This window comes from Homo sapiens, chromosome 5, assembly GCF_000001405.40.
Source record: "Homo sapiens chromosome 5, GRCh38.p14 Primary Assembly".
In the NCBI taxonomy this organism is placed as follows: domain Eukaryota; kingdom Metazoa; phylum Chordata; class Mammalia; order Primates; family Hominidae; genus Homo; species Homo sapiens.
In genome coordinates this window covers 88,483,551-88,499,072 of record NC_000005.10, presented here as the reverse complement: position 1 = coordinate 88,499,072, position 15,522 = coordinate 88,483,551, and positions in this window count along the sequence as shown.

The window sequence follows — 15,522 nt, the reverse complement described above, 5'->3', positions numbered from 1 at the left end:
ACAAGCATGTAATTCATCAAGTTAAAGCACAAGACTAGAGAATTCTAGAGAATAGCCTACTCATCATGAGTTTTGAGACTTTTAGACAAGGCCTAGAGAATCAGTATATTGGACACAAATCATGTGTATCTTCTCAGATCCCCTAGTTGACATTTCTTCTTCTCTTTCTCAGGTGGTATTTACTTGTACCAAGTCACCCTTCCACTTTAGATATGAATAAAATGCCATGTTGCGAGCATGGGATTTGGCCTCCTGAGTGGTTACCAGGGGACCTAAGAGTCCATTGGCAGTGCTGGGGAGATGTCCCCTTGTGTGATGAATCATGACCAATAGGAAATGAGAGATGGGAGGCCTCTCACAGGTGAATCTCTCCTTTCTTCATTCCATGGACAGCAATAAGGTAAGCTTCTCCTTATAACCTTTTTAGGAAGAAGTCCCTTTGTGCTGAGTTAAGTCTGCCGGTGTACTGTTGTCAACTCTTTTGAACTCTGTGTGAAGTGGTGACCATCATGATAATGATTTGCATTACTCCATGTCTTTTATTGCCTCACTTCTCTCTTTCTCTTCATCTTTATTACCCTGGGCTTATATGTCCATAGTGTCATCACTTTAATCCCTGCCTCAGGCTCTGTCTTCTAGAGGAACCATACAAAGACAGTCAGTTAATCTGATGAGTCAGTTAAAGAGGTTGATTTAAAAAGCTTCTATGGAATAGCATTAGTGCTAGGCAAGGAGACAGTAGGAGCCCAGAGAAGTGGTGGAATATCTAGAGTCATTCACAGTCTGTTGGACTTATTCAGGGAATACAACATATATTGAGATATCTAAAATTAATGAGTCCTAAAGGACAAAAATAGATCATTGGAGGAAACAAGGTTTTCAGTCTGGTAGGAAAGCTTAGGCATGATGAAGGAATAATAATACTATTAATAAAAATCATAACTAATATTTATGGATTCTTACTAAGTTCCAGCTACTATATTAAGTACTTTCGAAAACTTAATTAGATGAGATACAGTCAATTTTACTAATTTTTTATGGAGAAATTGTGGCTTAGGAAACTTAAGAGGTTTTCACATAGTCACTCATCTAAGAAATAGTGGAGCACAAATTCAAACCCAGGGTTTGACTCTTAACCACAGGCTTAAGCAAATATGGGAAAATATTTAAATGGAGCATGAGGCACATTATAGAAGTAGAGAGCAGTCCAGAAAACTGGGAACAATATCTCAGACTCCAAACAGGAGGACCACTTCATAAAACAGGACGGCCTGGGTATGAGTGCTGATGCAGGGTCAGAGGCTCTCTGAACAACTGTTCAGAACTTAAGCAGCCTCCCGGTACAGTAAATCAGATCTAGCTAGAATAGGCTCACTCTTTTTAGAAGAGACTGCTTCTACTTTTTATAGTAATTGTTGCAAATGACTAGATCTTTCAAATTTATTATTTCATTTATCCCATTATTCAACAAATATTTAAGATTTTCTCTGAGCCATGCAAAATTATTGGCACTGTGGATATACAGATAATTAAGGTACAGTCCAAACCTTAAGGAATTCACAGGCTGATAGAGAGGACAGCCAAGTACTCAAAAATGTATAAAGGAATAGCAGTAACATGGGAGTATGGGGAGCACAGAGGAGGGTACTGACCCCTGTCTGAAGTTAGAGGAATGGGGAGACTTCCCAGAGACAGTGAAGAAATTGATTCCTGAGAATGGGACATATTTTTCCCGGGAGACAAAGGGAAAGGAAGAACTCTCTAGGCAGAAGAAACAGCACTGGGAAAGAAATGGAATCATGAGCAAGTATACTGCATTCCAGAAACATGTGACAGCATGGTAGATTTGGAGTATAGGCAGAGTGGCCATGCAATTCACTAACAAAGTCAGAACGATAGTTTTGAGAGTGAAAGGGGTGCTTTTCCTCACTATTTTGGGACAATACAAATAAAAAGGAACTGTCCCAGGTAAACCAGGATGTTTGATCACTCCAAGTAAGGAGACTACAGGATGGAAAGGGTGTTGGAATTACTTAGACTTGAGTCTGAATCCAGGTGTGGATGATCAGAAGCAGTGTCTGTGTTCAGTCATCTTTGTAGCTGATTATGCCTCAGTGTCCTCCTTTGAATCAAAATGAATTGCTTGAAATTAATAATTTCTTCCTTGTAGATTTGTGTGATGACAAAATGAGATAACAGAAATAATACAATTGACACAATGCCAGCCTGTAGTATGTGCTCAACAAATATTGTTTCTCTGTGTGTACTCTTCCCACCATAGGCCAGAAATGGGAGACGAGGTTGGAGGATTAAGCCGGTGGGATTACCAACAGATTGCAAAGATCATGACAAGGAGTTTGAATTTTGACCTGAAAAAAAATAATTAGGCAGATAAATTTCCTAATCATGTTTGTGCTTTAGAAATATGAGTCTGGGCCAGGCATCGTGGTTCATGCCTGTAATCCCCGCACTTTGGGAGGTGGAGGCAGGAGGATTGCTTGAGACAAGGAGTTCGAGAAATATAAATCTGGCATAGAAAGACAAATACCGCATATTCTCACATATCAAGAGGAGCTAAATAATGTGTACACACGGGCATAGAGTGTGGAATGATAGACAGTGGAGGCTTGCATCAGGGAGCGGGTGGAGAAGGGTGGGTGATGAGAAATTACTTAATGCATATAATGAACATCAATTGGGTGATGGGTACTCGAAAAACCCTGACTTCACCACTATGCAATCTATGCATGTAACAAAATTGCGCTTGTACCCCATGAGTTTATACACACAAAAAAGAAATATGAATCGGGCGGCAATGTTTAAGATGTTTATCAGGGCTATGAGATATATCCAGGAGCTCCTGGTAACCTCTGGCACCATAAAGCCATGAGATCTTATGTGACTCTAATTTTAAAAGAATATGAATTTAATATTGTTGTTGAAACTCATCCTTTGCTGATTTTGGAAAATGGGAGTGGAAGAAGATATTACTGTGTTAAGGAGTCGGGCTGAGTCAGAGATGGTGATTTAGAGCAGGAAGTTCTGACAACTCCCTAAATCTGATTCCTGAAGTATGGTCCCAGACCGGCAGCATCAGCAGCATCTGGGAATCTGAACTTGATAGAAATGCAAATTCTTGGCTGTATGTAGACCTACTGAATCAGAAACTCTGGGGGTGGAGGTCCAACAATCTATTTTTACTAGACTTCCAGGCAATTCTGATACATACTATTGTTTGATAACTGCTGTCCTGATTCAAAGTACAGTGCAGAGGTAAAAATTAAATGGGAAATCAAGGTTAGTAAATCAGAGAATAGTGATGAATATGTCACCAAACTGAAGAAGAAATTGAAGTAAACATTAAAGCCAAAGGAATTTGGGGCTCCTGGAGATAAGAGGAAGGAGCCTCTGATTGAGAAAATAAGCAGTTGATATGATACAGCCTTTGAAAAACACCTGAAATAGGTACTGCAGCCTATATTAGTTTCCTAGGGCTGCTGTAACCAAGTACCACAAAGCAGATTGCTTAAAACAACAGAAATTTTGCTGGGCACCACCCTCACACCTGTGATCCCAGCACTTTGGAGGCCGAGGTGGGCTGATTGCTTAAGCTCGGGAGTTCAAGACCAGCCTGGGCAACATAGGGAAACCCCATCTCTACCAGAAAAATACAAAAATTAGCTGGGCATGATGGCAAATGCCTCTAGCTACTTGGGAGGCTGAGGCAGGAGGATCACCTGAGCCTGGGAGGTTGAGGCTGCAGTGAGCGGAGATTGTGCCACTGCACTCCAGGCTGGGCAACTGCACTCCAGTCTGGGCAAGCTGTCTCAAAACAAAAGCAAAAACAACCACAATTTATTCTCTCATAGTTCTGGCAGCTCCAAGTCTGAAATCAAGGTGTCAGCAGGGCTATGATCCTTCTGAGCCTCCAGATAAACTTCTTCCTGGTCTTTTCGTAGCTTCTGGTGGTGGTCTTCCATTCCTTGGCGTTCCTTGGCTTGCAGCTGCAACATTCCAAGCTCTGCCTCTATCAGAGCTTGGCCTTCTTTCTGTGTCTCTCACTCCATGTCCTTTCTCTGTGTTCTTCTTATAAGGACACCAGTCATATTGGATTAATGCCCACTCCAATGACTTTACCTTAAGTAATGACATCTGCAACAACTCTATTTCCAAATAAGGTCACACTTTGAGGTATTGGGGATGACGGTGGGGTTAGGACTTCAATATATTTTGCGGCCAGAGAGGGGGACATAAATCAACCCATAATGTAGCCCATCATCAGCTCTTATAAAACTGGCACTGTATAATTTGGGTTCCCTTAGAAATAGACCCTGAAATAGAGATTCATGTTTAATTCCACTCCCTAGGGGAGTGGGAAAGTAGGGCAGGGAGGGGAAAGCATACAATAAAATTACTGATTATACTTATTTAGAGTTTTTCAAGGGACTTCATTTTCCTAGGTTTCTGAGAATTAGAAAAAAAAATTGAGATAGCTCCCTGATGTCACAGAAGGGCAAACCTGGACAGAGAAAAATCTAACCTGCCCATGGCCATTTAATAAGATAGGGAAAAATTTAGAAAACATTTCCTGCCTCAGCCTCTACTCTGGTCCTTCAGCTACTCAACTGTGTCTGACTTGTCTGGAACACTAAGTAAGCAGAATTGTTACATGGTGCTCTTTCTAAAGAGGCATGATGGATTTCTTATTAATATTTCTTTTTAAGGTGGACACCATGCATTTATATATAGGTAAAGTTTAACACCATTTTTATCATATAAAAAAGGCTCAGAGATTTTTCTTGCTTAAGATTATGCATCAAGTTTTTGAGAGAATCTGGATTATAATCCAAATTTTTTTTTCTGTTTTGTATGCATTACTTCTTTTCACATAAACACAAAGATTTTTTGGTTACTTAGGAGCTATGTATACAATGTGATCCAGTCATCAAAATTGCTGCAATAAAATATATTTTACTGAAGATAGAGGCACCCCACCTAATCTGACCTTCCCATATTTAAACTGCGTGACAAGAAATTTGGCATAGTTAAGAAAGAAGTATTTTCTCCTTTATGGATTGTGTCCTGTAACTCAAAGATTTTATATACAGTATACATGTCCAGTGATGTTTGTTTTGATATCTAATGTAGTGATACAAAATCCAGTATAATTAACCACTGTAACTTTGGATGATAAGCTAACTGAAGTTAAATGTGAAAAAGTTTAGCCTACAAAGAATAATTTTTAACATCGGAATATGTAGCTGGTCCTGTGTGGTCAGGGGTGGAAAGAGAATCCAATTATTACTTTCCCAACATGGTATTTAGTGGGGAATCAAACTTCATGGGCCCATAATTTATAACAGTCTCATGCCAAAAAAAATTATTGACAGTATACTTGTGAGAGTTGTAATCCTACACAAAAATTTTTAGTGGAGTTATGAAATGTATGTGAATTTTATATTTTCTTTTGGCCGTGATTAAAGTTATAAGGAGGATTTTGTACTAATTATTTCTTTGTATACCTAAAGACTTGGTTTCAAATCCTGTCTCCCACTTATTGTAGTATGATTGGACAATTTATTTAATTGTCCTCTGTTTTGTCAGCTGTAAAGCATTTCAAACTTTTATTCCCATCTGCTAACGCAATGCCTGCCATATATTAAGTGTAATTAAAGAGTCTCATTCTAAATAAAACGACTTTAAAGGATTATCATTAGGATAACTGACAAAGCTTGACACCTAAAGTAGACACTCAATAAAAAATATTTTCATTCCCACTCATGGTGTGTGCTATTTGTATGTATCATGATACATGTTGGAAGAAGTATTTTTTAAAAACCCTCAATTTAGACTATGGACACTTTATTCAAACTCTGACAACTTCAGTTGTTTCTTCTCTAAAATAAAAAAAAGAACTACCCTTCAGTGTTGAGAATCAAATGTGTTAATGAATGCATGAGGTTCTTTGATTTTACTTTTTAATCTCTAAAATGGGAATTTTATTCATTACATATCTTAAAATGTTATGAAGGCCAATTTAGGAATGCATCTGAAAAAAATTTTTTAAAATCTGGTTAAGTATTGTACAAATATTAATTTTTGTTATGAAGAGTTCTAGAAACATTAGATTTATTTCTGATCAGTAAACATTTATTCTCTAAACATATAAAGTGTTTGCTGCACTCTCAAACTTAATCAAATCATTACATTGTTGAATATTATCAATCATGACCCTGTATTTAAAAAAAACTAATTTGTGAATATTTAAATTTCTAGGAAAACAAACATATCTGCTAATGATTATTACTATCACAATTCTTTACATTTCAAAAGTGTTTTGTTACAAGCTTCTTTTAATCAGTAAGATCTACTTTATGTTAAATATGTGATTTGATTAGTAAAGTTCCATTTTACATTGCCTTTTACAATCTCACTGTGTAAAATGTTTTTCTGTAATTAAAATGAACAAATTAGAAATATTGATTAATCCTTTGGATGAAGCCACCTGTAATCTCAATTACAAGGTCCCTGCCCCGAGGAAGCTTAGGTATGAAGTAAGATAGAAGACAGGCAAGACTGACATTGTCAATAAAATATCAATGGAGAAATTGATATTCAAGTGAGATACTGAAGGCAAAGAGGATGGGAAATAAGAGGGCAGTGGCCTGTGTAAAGGAGAGCTGGGAATGGCCGGCATTTTCAGAGAAAAATGGATATTGTGAGGTATAGTCAGGCACTGGTGATGAGAAGAAACAGGAAACATGTTGCTTGTGGCAATCATTGTTTTCCAGACTAAGGAGAGAGTGGACAGACGTTGAGTGTTTTTAGCAAAAGAATTATCAACTTAGAAGTTCTGGGAGATTAACTTGTCAGTGGAGTTCACAGTTGAATGGAGTGGAGAGACAGGAAAACTTCTAGAATACCTGTAGTTTGAGTATGACTTGTTAAGGGCCTAGAATGAATATAATGACAGCAATAGATAAAAGGTTAGGAAATGAGTTATTTAAAAAAATAAAAACTAATTGTACTTGCCAACTGATCCAAATGGAATACAGGGAAGTCAGAAAAAAAGATTTTTTTTTTTTTTCCAGAGGGAAAAGTAGGGGCATTGTGGTTGGTAAGGTGAACACAGGTATAGAAATGTTGGGTTAATCTGATTAGGTCAGTTTTGTAGCAGACTAGGGCTGGAGTCTTGAAAGTGGACTAGTTCTGTGAAGGAGAAAGTGTGGGCAGGTATTGCTAACCCTGGTCTCAGATACAGAACTCAGTAAGGTAGAATGAGTATGCCGTAAATCTCCCATTTCTATTGTATCCCTATTCTACTGAAGGCTTTCTCTAAGAGGCTCTTTGTTTCAAATTATCAGGTAAACTTTCTAGTTATGAAAGTTGTTTCAGCCTTCACACTGTCAACCATCACACTTATATCCTGTTAAATTGAATACCAAGAAAAGTTGTAGATTTTTGCATTCATTGTAATGGAATGTTCTTTGCAAAGCTTTAGCTATGGCCACTTAAATGTCAGCATTGTTAACAATGCTGTCTCTAAATTAGATACCTACAGGAAAGCTCTTTTAGTTGGAAGACCTTGCATGTTATAATGCTTCTTATATTTGAATGTATTATTAATAAGAAGTCACTTACAAAGTATATGTGCTTCCAGCTTCAGAAAGACATTTCCACTGTTCTAATCAGTGGGTTTAAATTCAGTTTTAAAAACTTTATGATTAGTTAGGAAAATCAACCCACATCAAAAAAGAATTTTAGGATTTTAGGCATTTAAAATATCTTTTACCAATCTTAGAATTGATTTTAATAAAAACACAACTTGAGACAATTATCTCTATTCACAACATTCAGCTGTTTCCAGCTACTTTGTCAGTTTGGTAAGGCATCAGGATTTCTTCTTATCCCCCCAAGAATGGAGCTCTGGGTTTGTAGCGTTTTCCCTGCTGTGATCCTGTTGTGTCCCTCTCTCATGACCGTATACTTTAGAAAGTTATGTGTGAAGAACTTGGGGCTGTGTGTTTGCGGGAGAGTGTGGACTCCTTTCTTCCTTCTGCTTTAAACAAATCACTCACATATCTAGCTTCCATGGTTTTCTCCATTAGTCTTCCTCATTTTCTTTTAGTGCTTCCTCTGGTGCAGATTCTTACGTCACTAAGAAAAGTATCTCCTATCAGTGGAAGTATTCCTGTTTCAGATATCCATAAAAAATTTGGCACTTTTTCTGAGTCTAGCTATAGAATTTCTTTAAAATAATAATGAAAAAATACCTCTACTTTTTTTTTTTTTTTTTTTTTGCCACTGAGCTAGAAGAAAGGTCTAAGGGAAATTTATTTGTGCTTTCAAAGTCACATGGTTCTTTAAAATTATGAGCCTTTAAAGTTACAAGCCTCCTTCAATAGCAGGAAGTTCACATTTACAGTTGCTAGTATTATTGTTATTCCAATACCAGTATTATAATAAACATTTGCATATCTAAAACCTAATATATTTCCATTGTTCAGGCATTAGTCAAAATAGGATTTCTTACCAACACTCACACAAATATGCACACCAAGTAGCAACTAATACAAGTTTTAGGAACTCAGTAGGGATTTATTTTCTTAATAAAAATAATAAATCGTTGCCAATATTCTTCCTTTTTACATACATACTGAATTTTTTCCTTTTTGAAGACTTTAAAATATGTCATTGAAACAGAATCTCTAGTTATTTAAAGTTTATATATAACAAAAAATACAGTCTAGAATTATACTAAGCATAAAATATAATACAAGCACTCAAGTTATGAGATATACATTAAAGGGGTATATATGCATGTACACAAGATGTGTAGCTACATATATATAGATAGGTAGATGGTTATAGACATATATGCATGCATATGTATACATATATACCTATACGTGTATATATTTACCTATCTATATATCTAGCTTCATATCTTTTTCTACATATCTATATGTACATATACATGTATATTTGTCTATATAATTGTAACTATAACTATATATGTACAAACACATTATGTTTAATTTATCAGCACTGAATTTAATCCTCCAGCCTTTCCAATGTTTAGGCAGCAACACATTTTAAAGATTAGTTAATTATGATTTTCTTAATATGAAAATGGAAAATTCTGCTAAAGTTTAAATTTAGAAAGAGTTACATCTAGAGTCTTCATTATGGTAAAATGCTAATTGCAAAATAACAACTAAATATTCTATTCTGTCATGTTTCACATTGCCTTAAGAGTGTGTGTGCCAAGTGTGGTATAAGCTGGTATAAGTTTGTATATGCTGATAAAGAAGTGCCATTCATTAGTCGGTAGCTTGTCCATTTGCTAATGTAAAGCATTTGTTCAGTTGCAAATCTCTCTTTCCTGAAGGCAAAGGACATGCTAGTGGCCTGGCAAGGTGGAATTCCTGCAGCAGCAGCAGCAGCAGCAGCAGCGGCAGCAGAGCCCAGCGTCAGAGAGACCCTCTTTGTAGATAAGGCCCCGCCCTTTCTTCCTTTAGACAATCTTTGAACCTCATCCAAAAATGAGAACAATTGAAAAATGTTGTCCTAAATAATTATTTTTAATGACAATATTTGTAAAATGTCTTCAATCTAAAGATGATTTATAAAGTGTATGTATCTACATTCTGTGTCCTCATCAAGCGTTCTCACTCGCTGTTTGCTCTGGCTCACTATTCATTAGCTGAGTTTCAACAATGAAGAAAGAAGGATTGATTAGTCTGTCACTGTACTTTGGGGCAGCCAGCCCCCCAAAACATTGCTAAACTTAGTTTACAATTAAATCTACAGGATGCTTTTGCAAAAGTACATACTTTATCATTTGAGATTTCTCACATGTGAAAACATGTGAGATCCAGAGCGCAAGACCACTCTAATGATTTAAGTCTTTTATTTTCACTTTAACTTGAAAACCTTTGCAGGAATTTTTGCTAGCCGCATAAAGTTTACAACTTTGCAACACAATTCTACAGACTGTTTTCCCCTCAATCTATAATAATTACTGTTATTTTCTAGCTATTGTAAATTGAGCACAGCATCATTCATTCAGGAAAGCTCTCCTGGCTTGCGTCATTTTAGCCACATTGTTCTCTGTGGCAGGTAAGACTAATCCTGTAGCATTTTAACTTCAAACTTAAAAGAAGAAAGCAGCACAGCCAAGACACAACTGAGTATAGTTCATCTAACTAAAGAGGCCCTGTTGCCTTTACTATAATGCAGTCACGATGCTCTGCCTTATGTTCCTAGGCTTTTCTTCTATTTGAGACAACTTCTACTTTCACACATTAACACCCTATGCCAAAATCCAGCCTGTGACTGCCTCGTCTGAGAGAATTGTGGGCAAAGTTCTAATTATTGCTTAGTTAGGTGCCTGCTCCATTTGACATACATGAGTCACTTTTGTTCTTTTCTTTTTTGTTGTCACAAGGCTCCTATTCCTTTAGATTTCTTTTTTATTTGTAAAGGGGGAAGTCTCTCCAGGCTTTTCCCACAGTGTCCTCCATCCAATAGGTTACAAAGGTACTAACATGCTAAATAGAAATGGTACCCTTGGGAAAAAATCCATTTCTTCTGAGGTTGTCCCTGTTCCGGTGAATGAAGACTTCTTTGAGGTTACAAATATGTTTAGCAACATCTCCATACAACTGATTACAGGTTGCTTCATTCAGACTCCAAGGAGAAAGCCCTCCTATCCTGGATAGGCATGAGGTGATGAATACACTCTTGGAACAAGGAAGCTTTATTTAAAAGACTCTTTGTGCTCTTCTGAGTACCCTAATGAGCTATCCAGGGTGGTGCATCATTGTGGGAGCAATCAGACAAGTCCTGTATCCTCTTTTCATTAATCCTGCTCTCTTTTGTAGCCGTGCTTGTTGTTGACTCACAGTACCCATCATTCCTTTGACTAAATAGTAGAAAAAACATGACTTTCATGTTATGGCCCACATCACCAAAACCATCAGTTTTTATATATGGCGAAGAGCAGCACAGGAACCCGATCTCTTGCCTCTATGCCTACGAGAGGTCTGGATTTTGCTTCTTCAAACATGGTTGCAGAAAATACCAACCTGAAAGCTTGAGGGGAATGCATGTTTGCTAAGTTCACTGTGTTTAATAAACCTCAAACCACTTGGAATCTAAATTGATTCCATTTAGATGCAGGCAGTCAGGCTGCATCTACACAAATGAAGTGAATATGTAGGAGCTTTATCCAGATAACTTGGGGCCCCTGTATATTTGGTGCTTTCAAGATTCAAATAATGCTTCAATTCTTTGTTTCATGTAACATGTAGACTCAGTCTTAATGGTAATGTTTTCTTATCTTAATATTCAGAGACTAAAATTCACACTGCATTTCATTTGTTTGAGACATAATTTATAATTAAACATTCACAATTTCATCATATTTTAGTAATATAGAGCCTGTGGAGAAATAGAATTCAAAATTAAATCGATTTCTAGATAAAGGTGAAATAAGTTCCTTGCTTAAAATATGCGATACTTTAGGTCTAAGGTAAGGTTTTTCCATATGATTTATTTTGATCATTGCCTTGAGTCTCCATTTTCCTTTGTATGTTTAATAATAGCCTAAACTATATATTGACACCATACTCAGAAACACTGTGACCTCTGCGAAAACCCAAGACAACATGAGTATGTAAAATTTATTTTTGTGGTCATTTACACCAAAATATCATGAAACACCTCATGGTTGATTTGATTATAAGAAAAAGAAGTGAGCGTGTCACACTATCCCATTCAGCTGGTAGCCGCAGACAGATGTAGGCAATTCAAAGCAGAGAGTGCATCCTCAGTTCTTGAACATAATTTTACTGGTGGAATTGAGAAACTCAGTGACTGTGTGGCACTTAACCATCCCTTCAAATCTTGCTCACACTGTCTATGGAATACTTTTCCCTTTAAATAACAGGCCGAAAACTTTTGGCACAGAGTATAAATGAATTAGAAAAGTTGTGTATAAGTAACTCAAAAACTCAAAACACTAATAATTCTCATACTTCTTGAAAAAGAAAACTACAATTCTTACCTGAAAATTAGTCAGTCAATGTACATTTCAGGATGTTTCATAATATACACCTAAAACCTGTACCTTTTGAGGCAAGAAGACAAAAGCCTTGTTTCTAATCCTTGTTTCCTCCAGCCCATTCGCAGCCCCTCGGCATTCTGGCACTCTATTGTATTTATTTTTAATTGAAACCTCAGTTATAATTAAACATTTGTGAGTGAAGGTAGAATGCCACTGCTTTAACCCAGATAAGTGTGCCTGGAGTTCATGGGCATGAGTGTATGACGAAAGATCAAATATCATGTGCAGCTGACATGTTCTGAACAGGTCCTGTATATCCATGTATAACTGTCTGTCCACAGTATAAAATTTGAGTTAGTGATTTAAACCTCTGTACTTAGAAAGTTCCCAGAGCAAATGAAAATGGTGTTCGAGGGTAAAGTGATAGAAGCAATATCAAAATAGTCAGTGAAAATAAACTCCCTGTGTGTATTCCTACGATTGTGCCCAAGGTGCTAATTACACTAAGGACAGGAATTAAAAGGGGAAAGACAAAGACCCAGAGCTCTGAGTGAGGCCTAATTGTATTTACACAGATAAAGAGACTAGATGGGGGAAGAAAAGAAACAACGGGCAAAAGTTCTCCATTTAGTCTTTATAATTAGTTAAGAAACATTTAAATTAATAACACATTCTGAGTAATGCAGCATGTGTGGCATATAGCACATTTTAAATTAATTCTTGAAATAGCTACTGGTGTCCTACTTTATTTCAATTTTGATAAATTAGCTTACAGTCACTTTTTGATGGGTGTCCCATAAAGTAAAAATTAGTATTTCATCTGCCATTAACTACTCTTCCTGTAGAAAAAAAAATAACATATATAAAAGGCAGAATTTAAAATAGATATTTGAAGTTGATCCTATTAATTTGTATTTTTAACAATGGCGTTAGAGAGGAAGAAAGGGTAATAAGTTTTATGAGCTTATTTGTGTAGCCTTATAGTAGAAAAATCTCTTGATTGTCCATGTTTAATATAAAACTGGTCACTTGCATTTACTATTCCTCATTGATATGATACAATAATCTTCTCTGGTATTTTGGAGCTCAGAGAAAAGGCCTCAGATTATAAGACTGCTTCAAAATAGCTAGCTTTTGTCCTAGAATTATGTAAAAATTTACAATCTGCTGATTACACTATTAGGGAGCTGCAGCCTCATTGACCTAATGTCATAGTTACCTTTGGAATCCTTAATGTCTTAAGGCATGATCCAGGGTAGTGCTTCTAAAAATTCTCTAGTTTGATTTTGTCTGCATCTGAGTATATGGAAGTGCATGTGTGTATTTGTACTTAATTTTGGGCAATTGGAAAAAAACTTTTCTATGTGATCCTTCAGCCTAGCAACGAATCAAGCTACTTTTCTTCATGTTTACTTAATTATTTTGTATGCTCCCCATCCAAGCAAGCAATTCAAGTATATGTAACAATCAGAGGGGACCAAACATAAACCAAAAAATGGTCATATGTAAAGCTCAGACAAAAGATTTAGGCACAATAAGGTGAATGTAAGAAGTAGCTAGAAGAATCATTAGCTTAATTTCTAGGTATTCTAATTTTTGTCCCTAAAAGTATTGCAACTCAAGAACAGATAAGTGCATCTTGTTAAATTGAGGAGAAATAAATCAGAAATGTTTCTTTTGATTTATAACTGTCATCAGTGCATGCATGTTCATGGGTACATTATTTTAAAAATATTTCTTTAAGGACTGGTTAATTCTCTCTCATACTTCAGTCCCCTCCCCCACCCTCATCTTTGCATTAATTTGTCTACCCTAGCAATAAGTGTATGCTTTAATCATATATATTTAACCTACTCAGGGTTTCTAAAAGGACATATTTATGTCTTAGAAAACCAAAGTGATTTCACTTTGTTCTGACAGAACAACGTACATTTCATTCAAGTGTCTTTTTTTAGGTGATACTCTTAGCAAGGGATTTTATTTACTGAATGACATTTCTGCTAACCTGGAAGGGAAGATATCCATTCTTCAAATACTGTCATTACCAAGCTTTAAAAAGACTTGATTGTACCATGTTAGGGAAACAGTGTCAGATTTTCCATCAAACTTTCTCCCACTGTAATAACTGAGCATAAAAATGAACTTCGAGTGATGAAATGACTACAAAGCAAATTAATGCAATCAAGTCATTAGTAACAACTCTGTCCATATCTGTTAAATATTTTCAAACTATTCTAAAAAAACACACCCAGAAGGCAAACTAACAGTGAATAGAAACAAAATGGTCAGCAGCGTGTGTCGCATGTTATTTGAATGGAAAGTAATTTATCGCGTCTGAAATAAAAGCTGTTTATTCTTGTGTTTCACTGTCTGTAACAATCTTTACCATTTATCTGTGAAAAAGTGAGAAACTGTACCGTTATTAGCATATGAATACTTGACACATCAAATTGGCTGTACAATAACAGAAGGACATTTGCTATTGGTGTATGCACACAGACAAAGCAGCCATTTTGAAAAAAATTGAAATGGTGTGGGTGGTTTAACCCTTTACTTATCTTGTAGGTTTCCCACTCCTGATTTTGACCGGAACAGTTTGGCAGTTAGAATCAGAATATTTTTATAGCAAATAAAAGTAATCACGGGCCATTATGTTCATGATAATTACGTTGATACATTCACTCTACTAGAAAAATAGAAGCGGAATGACAATAAAAGAGTTTGTGTGAGTGTGTGTATGTGTGTGTACATGCATGTGCAGGGTGGGGGAAGGGAGTGGAGGCCGGCAGTGTGTGGAGGGTGCAGCAATGAAACAATGCCTACGTACAGTTTTATTTCATGGCAACAACATACTGGTCCTTGGGTCAGATGTGTGAAACTATTTCTCAAAGAAACCGCATACATAATTGAGGCCCTCCGAAGGGTTCCCAGTTGAAGTTGCCAGGCTACATTCATTTCAAAAGCAGAGCCATTTGTTATCATATTTAAATTAACTCTCTGCACACTGAACTTGAATTTTAGAGTCCTGCTTACTTATAATTCTTAAAATAGTTGAGAAAGGGGAAAACATGTGTCTGGAAAATGGAAATAAGGTAGTCCCCACAAGGGACAGCAGTGGTTCTCATGCAGGCCTGAGGTGAAACAGCCTTTTATAGCTTAAATTTAGAAAGATCTGTTTGGAAACACTAGAAACAAGTCTTTATTTTCTCATGCAATTTTTTGTATAGATCCAGATGCAAGATTGTTGCAAAATCTTGTCATTTGTAATCTGTGTGTCAGCTAGGTTTTTACCCTTATCAATGTACTAACCTCATTCCCTTTCCTGCTCCCCCAGATTATTCTTTGCCGTGAGATTTAGAATAAGATAATTTCTAAAGTTGCACAAAATTTAAACTATTTTAGTTTAATATGTCAGTTCAATCTTGGCTATAATAAAATACACTTTTTTTTCC